The following is a 12,209-nucleotide window of genomic DNA, read 5'->3' as shown; positions in this document are numbered from 1 at the left end:
TGGCGATGATCTCTCCGCAGTCCTGGCTGACTGGTGAAAAAAAAACATATAACCATAGGGAAGTGGTACTGGAGAGGCCCCTGGCAGGCTGTCAACTTGCTCCCTGCCTCCCTCTGACCTGCATATGCTCATGTGTATTTGTGGCTGACTCTTCTCCCTGGCAAACAAAAGGAGTTTCCTGCTATATGCAGCAGCTCCTTGGTTCCTTTTCATCCTTATGAGGATGCTGGGAACGGCAGCAAGGATTAGCCTTAGGAAGGATTCCTCTTAAAATAAGAGAACTGTGCTTCTGCTGAACACCTTCTCACCTGACAGCACCCTAACTGGACAGACATGGTCCTCTTGGATTGCCAGAACTTTAGCCGGATCCATGTCACCTCCCCAGACAGACCTTGGCTGCCCCTGAGGAGCGGCCGGCCTCTTACAATAATTATTGCTACCATAATTTATTGAATCTAGGATGTGGTGCATTGTCATATACACCATCATTTTCTATTCCACCAAGAAGAGAAACAATGCTGCCAGTTCAGCCATGGCATGCCATCAATTTTTAAATGTGCCCTGAGTTTAGAGATATTAAAATGTGAAAAATATCCTCTTAGAATCAATGGAATTCTTTTTTTTTCCTTTCTATTTTCCACCACTTGATTATTAATTCTCTTCCAAGATGCAGCCCCAGAGAATTGAGGACTTGAGGCTAGAGGCCTGCCTGATATTGTTCAACCTGATTCATGATATGTCCCCATCCATCTCCCCCACCCTGTCCCCCACCTTTCTGTGAATGACACCACCATCGGTCCTTCCGTGACCGAGCCTAACAGATGAAGAAACAGAGCGGAGTAAATTGCCTAAAGTCAGACTCCTAGCAAAGGGCTGAACCAGGATTTGAACTCAGGAATTCTGACAGCAGTCTCCCACAGTGAATCATTCTATAATAGTGCCTTCCTACATAGTTAGACATGCCTGTCAAATCACGCCTTTGGTGGGGATGGGGAGAATTGTGATTTCGTATTCTATAGTCGACATTATATGTCATTACAAGAAATAGAAATGGCTTTGTCAAACTCAAGACTGTATTTAATGCCCGTAAGCTACTGAGAGTGTGGTCCATACCTTCATACAGTGCCCTCTTTGGGAGAACTGGGAAAGTAAGTCTCTGAAGTCATTATCAAGAAAAGCTGTGCTGCTTCTGAGCAATTGTTTGACTTAAGGTCTTAGGGTCACCATGAGTCTTGATACTGTGGAATGGAGCTTGCTTCTTTCTTTGCTTTGGCTACCAGGAAGCTTCATTTTGTGATTCTAACAATTAGAGCTTGCATTTGATATATTAAACATTTTTCTTTCTTTTTGCCCCAATATCCTTGTCCTTTTTGTGCCTTATCTAATTGAATTGAATTTACTACTAAATATTCTCAAATATTTTTGGAATGAGATGATATAAAAATACATAAATACACACATTTTTATGAACTTTTGAAAACTTAGTGCTCTCTAGAAATTGGAGTGCAGATAAACCTGGTTAATGTGGTAGCATATTGGCAGCTACCTCTCCTAAACTTCTCATTCAATGAATTTATCAAGGGGGTGAAAGACAACAGCTTGATAAAATCCAGGAAAAAACTTCAACATTAACAAGGGTAACTGGCACTAGAAATAACATCTAAAGTTGAGTCCATATGCCAAAGTCTTGGTATTTCCACTAAGCAAAGTATCCTGAGCATAACAGAAAAAGCATATATATCTTGGGAATAGCAAAATAAATGCAAAGAAAAAAATTCAGTCATTTCTCACCTCTCATCTCTCCTGCTGGAATACAGAAATCAAGCAGACTCTTCTATTACTGTATATATTCCAAAATGCTCCCTTCCCCTCACTTTCTCTTCTGGCTTTTAGATCAAGAATTTGACCATGAGACAGTTACCATATAAAACAATTGGTAGTAAACATTTAAATTACTAAAAAGTTCAGAGAGAATTGCAGTAACATAAATATTGAATATAAAGCCAAAATAGCTCTTAAAGATGTATTTGAAAAAAATGGAGATGAGATTCTATAAACTGAGTCTGTAATTTCTAATTAAACTTATAATTGTGGGAATGGGAAAGACAGGGAGAAATGAAAAAAATTAAATACCATGATATACATCAGAGTAGAGAAAAATATACCTTCCAAATTACTATAAATGAAAAGAGCAAAAAAAGTATAGCAAAAAGCATAAACCAATAAGTGAAACAGCAAAACATCAGTGTCAAACTCAATAAAAAATATAAAACAAAATGGTAGAAATAGGACTGAACTTAGTATGAAAAATAAATAAAAATAGTTTTGCTCTACAACTGAAATGAAAGACAGATTTGAATTGAGTTAAAGAAGATCAAGAGTGAGACCAAACTTAAATTACATTAAAAAGATAAGATTGAAATGATAGGTATAGAAGGCAAATAAAAATAAGCACAGGTGGCACTGATATTTTCAAAGGAAAGTTCAAAGCAAAAACAATTCAATACAACAATGAAACAAAAAGGACTCTTTTCCATTGAAACAAGATGAAATCTGTAATTGCAATATAATAGTCCTGTGCATTTATGAGCTGATTAACATAACATCAAAATTTATATAGCAAAAAACTATTTGATATATAAGAAAGAGACTAAAACACAATTATAATTAGGTACTAAAATCCCACACCATCTATTACAGAACAAGTTGATAAAAATAAGAGGATGTATCTAGGTAATTTAAATAACATAATCAGTAAAATTGAATTAGTAGATATAGCAACATTTTATATCACAGATTTTCTTTTCAATTCCACTGATTTTCTAAAATTGACCACATTATCTTAAGGCAAAAAGAACATCAATAAAATTTAGAAATATAAACTATATAAGCCATACTTTTATTTCTTTATTGTAATTCACCAAAACTAGAACTTATAAGGAAGAAAACTCTCAAAATCACTGTTGGGTCAAAAAGCACAAAACCATAATGATAAACCCTTTATAATTTCACTGTCCAATATGGTAGTCACTAGTCACATGTGATTATCTACCTTTCAATTAATTAAAATGAAAAGTTCATTTCCTCAGTCACACCAGCCACATTTCAAGTGCTCAACAACTACACGGAGCTGGTGGCCACCATAGTGGACGAAGTAGATATTTCTACATATTTCCATCATCACAGAAAGCTCTATTGGACAGTGCTGCTTGTGGAAGACAGGATGTGTATACACAACCAAACACTACATAGGAAAATATAGAGTTAAAAACTTCTCTATTTAAAATAAATGCAGACCAATAACAAATTAAGATGAATATTTATAACAAATGGGAACCACATAGTTAATATTGAATAGACTATTATTAATATTAAATCACTTTCACAAAAATATAAGAGAAAACACCAACATCCCAGAATAAAAATGTAACAAAGACATGAGCCAACAATTTGTGGTTCAGAAGGAAATACTAATAAAAAATAAGCATATGAACAATAGTAAACCTAATCAGTAAAATAACATATTTTTCAACAAACAAATTAGTAATTCTAAAAAAGTATAATACACTTTATGCTAATGAGGGTATGTTAATATGATCACTCATAAACTGCTGAAGGCCAAAAATTAAAAAATTTGCCAAAATCATTCTAGAAAGCCCCCATTCAACCTTGTGGAGCAGCGGTTCTCAAACCTATTTGCACACTGGACTCACTCTGGGGACTTAAAAAAAAAAAAGTGCAATGCCTGAGCTTCCCTGCTCATAGATTCTTATTTAATTGGCTTGGGATGGATAGTGGGCTTTGGTATTTTGGGAGCTTATAAAGAGTCTGTTATGCACACAAGGTTGAGAACAATTACTTCAGAGGCATAACCTCAGGGACCAGTTTACCATAGAAATCTCATTTGAATGTGGGACTCTGAGAGGAAGGGCATTCATGCCCACTGCCTGGCTCTACCATAGAGAGCTCTACCAGGCATCAGGTTCGCCAAGTTCTCAATATGTCTACATCCCAATATGTCTTCCCCTAGTCAGGGGAAGACCAGGTGTGTGTCAAGGCAGAGAAGGGCTGAGCCTGACTCTTGGCACAGGGAGCAGTTGGCTTATTATGTGCTTTCATGAAGGGAACCAAAGTTCCATGAAGAAGATTGTTCACACACCTGGAGAGGTCAGAATGATGGGGATGCAGCCACAGCCAGGCATGCATTCTGGCAAATAGACAATACTCAAGACTTTCTTATGAATGCAGGGAGGAACCTAATGTCTCCCCTGATGCCTTGAAACCCCACAACCCCCTGAAGTTGGATAAAATCCGAAGTAAAATGCAAGAGAGGAGAAACTGTGAATTAAATGAGATTGTCCTGAATTGACTGAGAATAAGATTAATTCTTTCACTTTGGATTGCACTTAAAATTAAAAGTTTGTGGCCTGAAGTATTCATACTCACCACAGATGCATTACCTAGCTTAATCATCACAAGACTCTTAATAAGAAATTCTGTTAGTTTTATAAATGATAGTACTGTCATTCAGACAAAGTAATTTTCATTTCTTATACTTTTTGCCTTATATACTTTGATGTCATGTTATTCAACTCATAAGGGCTTATAACTGTTATTATATCTTAATAATGGGATGTACCTGACTTAATGTAAAAGGTATTTTATGTATCATTTAATGATTTTTGTCTTGACTTCTACTTTGTCTGATTATAATATTCCTACCCCTCCTTGCTTTTTATTTGTGTGGTATTTACTTCTGATGCCTTTGTAAGCATTTCTTACGTACCACTGACTTTTCTACAACCATCCAGCAATACAGGAAGGAAGGGAGGGAGGTAAGGAGGGAAAGGAAAGAAGAGAAGGGAACAGAAACCCTATCACAGTGAGAAATTTTTTGACCTATCCATATGAATAAGTAGGAAAAAATGAAAAAGGAAATAAATGGTTTGAATAATACAATGAATATGATTGAATTAATACATACTGCAAGTGTTTGTACCCTACAAAGAAAACACCCTCTTATCAATACTTATTCATGGTAAAACTCCTATTAAACTAGGAAGAAAATGAAACTTCTTTTTCCAAAGAAGTTTATCTACCTAAAATCTATAGCAAATTTCACACTGAATAGTGAAGCATTAGACAGATTCAGATGTGAGACAAGGATGCTCGTTATCATTGTTTCTATTCAACATTGTATTGAAGATTGTCTCCAGTGCAGCTTAGAAAAGAAGAAAGGAAAGGGAAAAAGAAAATAATAACGGATGGAAAGAAAAGGAATATTGTTATTTTTTATTATACTATCTGCATAGAAATCCTGAAATTATCTATAATACATTGTCAGAATTAATACACAGGGTTATTTGTAGAAATGAATTGCATTTTATACACCAGACGGAGAAAATATAACCTTTAAAAACATCCAATTTACAACAACCAAGATAAAATGCATCTAGGAATAAATCTCACTAAAGATACATTTGTCCTTTATGGAGAAAATTATACAATTGTATTGAAGAAATTAATGAAAACCTACATAAATAGAGAATGTTTACAGATAGGGAGAGCAAGTATCATAAAAAAAGAGAAACCTCCTCAAATTTTTGAATTAAATGTAATTCTAACCAACTCCAAGTGAGGCATTTGTAGAATTTGATACATAAATCCAAGCATTTATGGAAACAATCTATGAGAGAGAGGGTATTACAAACTAGGAGGGGAGAGTAATGGGACAACTGGAATAAAAAAAAATTCAATCCTATCTCACATCATACACAGAAGTTCATTCCAAGTAAAATATAGGCCTAAATTGGAAGAGTGAAACTTAACAAAAATTTAGAAAAATATCTGAGATTATGTTTATTACAATAGGATAAAAAAGAAACTCATAAGATCTAAAAAGTACAAATCAAAAAGAAAAAGATTGACAAAGTTGGCCATATAAAAAACTTGTATTCATTAAAATATAACATTTTAAAAGGTGAAAAAATAAGTCACAACCTGGAAAAAGATCTTTGTAATATGCTTAATTAACAAAAAATTATTAACCAGAATATATAAATACATCAAACCAATAAGAAAAAGATAATAACTCAATTTAAAATTGGGCAAAACATATAAACAGGCAATTCACAGAAGAGAACTGTAGGTGGCCAATAAGCTTATTTAAAAGGTTCAACTTTACTTGACAATTGGAGAAATTCAAACTAAACACTTAACACCACAATGAGATTACATTAACATTTATTGGATTAGCAATAAAAAGACTATTAATGCCACTTGCTGAAAATGTGAAAAAATGAGCACCCTCTTACGTGTTGGTGAGAGCATATTACAGCAACCACTATAGTAATATCTGATAGTTAAATATTTGTATACCTATAACACAGCAATTCCACCCCTACACAAGAATGTTTTTAGCTGCATCCTTTGTAATAACAAACATGTAGAAACAAATTTAGCATTCACCAACAGAAAAGTGAATAAATTACCATATATTCTTACAGTGTGATATTATATAGCAATAAAAATTACAAAACTGCAATAATAAAAACTATGTGGATTAATCTTACAAACATAATGTTGAGAAAAAAGTTAATTGCTGAATACATGTAATATAACACGAAGTTTTGACTCATGGAGAACAACAGTATATATTGTTAGGAATAGACACATATATACCAAAAGTGTAAAAAATTCATGGGAAGGATAAAAAACTAAACTGAGAATAATGGTTACATCAGGGTGGGAAATCAGGAAAATATAATTAGAAAGGATACAAAATGGGCTTTAAATATATTAGTAATGTTTTGTTTCTTAAAGTGGATATATTATGGGCTTAGAGTTTTATTATATTATTCTTTTTCACTTGTAAGATATAAGTCTTGTGCCTTTTTAAAAGATCTGCATCTAAAAACTTCATTTTGTTGAGTGAGTGTAGTTTAATTTGTTTCCAAAGGCTCATTGCTAGTATGCAGAAATACAATTGATTTTTTGTATCAATCTTGATACCTGAGAACTTAATGAACATATTTAGTCATTCTAAGAGTTTTCTAGATTTCTTGGAATTTTCTATGTAGATCATAATATTATCTGCAGATAAGGATTTCTTTCTTTGTAATGTGTATTCTTTTTATTACATTTTCCTGCTTTATTGCACTGGCTTGAACTTCTAGTCCTATGTTAAATGAGTGATGAGAGTAGTCATCTTTGCCTTGTTATTCTCAGAGAGAAACCATTTAGCCTGTAACCACTAAGTATGATTTTAACTGTAGGTATTTTGTAGCTGTTCTTCAGCAAATTGAGGAAGGTCCCCTGTATTCCTAGACTTTTATTATGAATGGATATTGGACTCTGTCAAGTGCTTTTTCTGCATCAATTTATATATTCTGATTTTTCCTCTTTATCCTATTATTATGATAGATTTCATTGGTTGGTTTCAACTGTCGCACCAGCCTTGCATCTCTGGATTAAATCCCACTTGGTCACAGCGCACACATCTTTTATGTATTGCTGAATTTTATTTGCTCAAGAAATATTTACCAAGATGGAATATATCCAGAGCCACAGAAGAATTTCAATAAATTTAAAAGAATTGAGGCTAGGCACAGTGGCTTACACCTGTAATCCTAGCATTTTGGGAGGCTGAGGCAGGAAGATCACTTGAGGCCAGGAGTTTAAGACCAACCTGGACAACATGGTGAGACCTCATCTCTACAAAAAAGAAAATTAGCCAGGTGTACTGGCACACATCTGTATTCCCAGCTAGTTGGGAGGCTGAGGCAGGAGGGTTGCTTGAGCTTAGGAGGTCAAGGCTGTAGCAAGCTATGGTGGCACCACTGCACACTAGCCTGGGCAACAGAGAGAGAGACCCTGTCTCAAAAAAAAAAAAAAAAAAGAATTGAAATCATATAGAGTATGTTCTCTGATCTGACCACAATGAAATCAAACTAGAAATTAACAACAGAAAGGTTAACAGGAAAATCTGTAAGTATCTGGAAATGAAACAACACACTTCTAAATAATCCGTGGATCTACAAGGAGGTCTTAAGGGAATTAAAAATTCATTGAACTGAGTAAGAAAGGAATCCCTCCTCCTGATTGTTTGGAATAGTTTCAGTAAGATTGGTAGTAGCTCTTTGTACAACTGGTAGAATTTGGCTGTGAATCTGTCTAGTCCTGGGCTTTTTTGGTTAATATTTTGTTAAGAATTTTTGCAGCCGGGTGTGGTGGCTCATGCCTGTAATCCCAGTACTTTGGGAGGCTGAGACGGGAGGATCACAAAGTCAAGAGATGGAGACTATCCTGGCTAACACGGTGAAACCCTGTCTCTACTAAAAATACAAAAAAAATTAGCCGGGTGCAGTGGCAGGCGCCTGTAGTCCCAGCTACTCAGGAGGCTGAGGCAGGAGAATGGCGTGGACCCAGGAGGCAGAGCTTGCAGTGATTGGAGATGGCACTACTGCACTCCAGCCTGGGCAACAGAGCGAGACTCTGTCTCAAAAAAAAAAAAAAAAAAAAAAAAAAAAAAGATTTTTTGCATATATAAGTGATATTGGTTTGTAGTTTTATTTTTTTATATTGTCTGATTTTGATATCAGGGTAATATTGGCCTCATAAAATGAGTTGTGAAGTTTTCCTTCCTCTTCTGTTTTCTGGAAGAGATTGTATAGAATTGGTGTGAATACTTCTGTTAGCAATTGGTTCTTCAGTGAAAGCATTTGGGCTTGGAGATTCTTTTTCAAATTCAATTATAAATTCTTTAATTCAACCTAATTCTTCTATTTCCTTAACATATTTATAGGCTTATTCAAATTATCTATGCCATGCAGCATGAGTTATGGGAGTTTGTGTTTTTTAAGAAAAGAGTTTGTTTTATCTAAATTGCCAAATTACATATGTAGAGTTGTTTGTAGTATTTCCTTATTATCTTTTTGATATTTATGGAGTCTGTAGTTTCATCCCCTATTTCATTTATACTATTGGTAATTTGTATTAAAATATATCATCTTCATCTGTTTTTACTAAATAGATAGTCCATTTTATTATGTTTTCAAGGAATCAGCTTTTTGTTTTATTGATTTTCCTCTACTGTTTTTCCACTTTCATTAATGTCTGCTCTTTATTCTTTTCTTCTGCTCGATCTGTGTTTATTATGCTTTTGTTCTGGTTCGTCAGGTAGGAGCTTACTGATTTAAGACTTTTCTTGCCTAATGTAGGCATTTAGTGGTATAAATTTCCCTTTCGGCACTGTTTTAGATGCATACTACAAATTTTGATAGGGTATATTTTCATTTTTATTCAGTTCAACATATTTTTTTTTAATTTTAGATTCTGGGGGTACTTGTGCAGGTTCGTTACACTGGCATATTGCATGATGCTGAGGTTTGGGCTTCTAGTGAACCCGTCACCCAAATAGTGAACATGGTACCCAATAAGAAGTTTTTCAAACCTTGCCCCCTGTATTAGTCCGTTTTCACGCTGCTGATAAAGACATACCGTAGACTGGGTAATCTACAAAGAAAAAGAGGTTTAATGGACTCACAACTCCACATGGCTGGGGAGGCCTCACAATCATGGCAGAAGGCTAAAGGCACGTCTTACATGGCAGCAGGCAAGACAGAATGAGAGCCAAGCAAAAGGTGAAACTCCTTATAAAACCATCAGTTCTTGTGAGACTTATTCACTACCCATGGGAACAGTATGGGGGAAAGTGCCCCATGATTCAATTATCTCCCACCAGGTCCCTCCCACAACACGTGGGAATTATGGGAGCTACAATTCAAGATGAGATTATAGTGGGGACACAGCCAAACCATATCACCCCTCACCCTTTTGCAGTCCCAGTGTCTATTGTTGCCATCTTTATGTCCATGTGTACCCATTGTTTAGCTCCCACTTATAAGTGAGAAGATGTGATATTTGATTTTGTTTCTGAGTTATTTCACTTAGGATAATGGCCTCCAGCTACATCCATGTAGTTACAAAGGACAGGTTTTCATTCTTTTTATGGCTGCGTAGTAGTCCATATTTTTACTCTTTCCATTTTTCTTTCTTCCTTCATGATCTTTCAGGTTTCCTTCTTTTATCATTTCCATTCTGTTTCAATAATTTCCTTCAACTCTTCTTTTAGGATAGGTTTGTTGGCAACAAATTATTTTTGTTTTCTTTCATCTGAGAATGTCTTGATTTCTCCTTCATACCTGAAGGACATTTCCACTGAATATAGATAGAATTGTAAGTTGACAGTTCTTTCCTTTGAGTACTTCAAAATATACCACTTCCATGGTTGTTGATGAGAAGTCCACTAGCATTTGTTTTTTCCTCTATAATTAAGATATAATTTCCCTCTCATTGCTTTAAGATTTTGTGTTGTTTTTGGTTTTCAGTAGTGTGATTATTATGTGTCTTGTGAATTTCTTTGGCTTTAACCTGTTTAGGATTCACTCAGCTTCTTGGATTTGTAGGTTTTTGGCTTTTGCCAAATTTAGAGATTTCGGGTCATTTTTAAAAAAAATATTTTTCAGTCTCACACTCTTTTTGTACTCCTCTAGACTCCAATGACACAAACATTAGATCTTTTCACATAGTCCTACACATCCCTGGGACTCATATTGTTTTTCAGTCTATTTTCTCTCTGTTGGTCAGATTGGGTAATTTCAATTCTTCTGTCTTAAGGTTCATTAAGTTTTTTTCCTCTGTCCTCTCTATTTCACTCTTGTGCCCATCCAATGAGTTTTAAAATTTCAGTGATTGTACTGTTTAGTCATAACATTTCCTTTTGGTTCTTCTTTATGTCTTCTGTTCTTTGCTATGGCTTTCTCTTTCTTTGCTGAAATTATCTATCTCTTCATTTGTTTCAGTCATGTTCCTAATTGCTTGTTGAAGCATTTTTATGATTGCTACTTTAAAATCCTTACCCAATAATTCCAACATCTGTGTCATTTTGGTGTGGGCATATATTGATGGTCTTTTCTTATCCAAGTTGACATTTTCCTAATTCTTGATATGGTGAGTGGTTTAATTATATCTTAGACAGTTTGGATAGTGTGTTAATGAGACTTCAGATCTTATTTCAATCTGTTGTCTCAGTAGGACGTTTCTGACACCATACCAGTGGGGCAGAAAGGCACTGACTCATGACCGGCAGATAGAGAGAGAAGCCCAAGTTCTCCACTTGGCCTCTGTTGACACCCAGGGTGGGAAAGAGGGCAGTGATGCCTCATTAACGCTTTGGGGTAGAAGTTTAGGGTCCCCACTAGGCCTCAACTGAACCACCCTCACTGGGAGGGGGAGAGGCACCTTGTCACAGCTCTTCACATGGCCTCCACTGACACTGCAGGGATGTGGGTTGATGGTGAAAGTCCTGGCTCTTCATGAGACCTTTTCTAATACTCTCCAGTGGGAAGGAGAAGAGGTTCCTCATTATTACCAGGTGAGGAATAGGTCCAGGGCCCCCAAGTGGCTTTCAATGACATTGTGGGAGGGCATTCTCATTAATATTGGGCAGTGGTTAAAGTCCTGGCTGTCCACAACACCTTCTCTGATACTGTCCCAGCAGAGAGAAGGAGGAGAACCTTGTTACAGCCAGAAGAGGTTGAGAGCCTTTGCTGACAGGGTAGGGAGCATAGTTTAATCCATGGTGTTTGGCTGGAATGGTGCAGCTATTGTCTAAAAGTTTTCTATCTTTTGAGACTGTCCCTTTCCTAGTCCTTTGGCTGGAGAGAGTGGGCTTTCGCTGGGGCTTTTGTTGATGTATCCATTAATAACTTTGAATTTTAGTTTCTCTAGCACCCAGTTTAGGATATATGAGGAAAACCAAACTCAGAGGATTCACCACCATGTTGTTACTCAGGCTCTGAGATCCATAGCCCATCTGCCTTCTTTTCACCTCTCAGAGGTTGAGCTATAATGTTCAGGGTTTTAGCTGTATTCGGTGAGAAAAACCAGGAAATGTGCAGCTCCTCCATGCTGTCTTAAATCAGAAGTATTATTTTTATATTTTCTATTGTCCCTAAAATATTTCATAATTTTTTTTAAAGATTAGACGATACTTGTGAAAGTTAAACTATTCTTGAAGATTCTTGGAATACAGAGACATATCCTCTTCCTCCCCACTTCTCCAGAAAAGACTCCTCTGATTTCCTTGCCCAACGTGGTCATCTCCTTCATGGTCCCCCCGCTCCACCCTCACCAACCCCAAGAAAGGA

The 12,209-nt window shown here is 35.8% G+C and overlaps 1 protein-coding gene across 1 annotated transcript in view; it reads right to left on the bottom strand.

The window, feature by feature from the left end:
• Positions 1-562: 562 nt before the first annotated feature.
• The window catches only part of LRGUK (leucine rich repeats and guanylate kinase domain containing), a 149,346-nt gene continuing 137,699 nt past the window's right edge, over positions 563-12,209 (bottom strand). The window contains exon 20 of the mRNA XM_024446659.2: positions 563-1,886. Coding sequence (XP_024302427.1) covers positions 1,795-1,886 — 92 coding nt within the window. The 3' untranslated portion in view covers positions 563-1,794. The remainder of the gene's footprint in view (positions 1,887-12,209) is intronic.

The sequence above is a fragment of the Homo sapiens genome, chromosome 7 (genome assembly GCF_000001405.40).
Source record: "Homo sapiens chromosome 7, GRCh38.p14 Primary Assembly".
Lineage (NCBI taxonomy): Eukaryota > Metazoa > Chordata > Mammalia > Primates > Hominidae > Homo > Homo sapiens.
The sequence above is the reverse complement of the archived record's forward strand: the minus strand, read 5'-3'. Positions and strand labels throughout refer to the sequence as shown.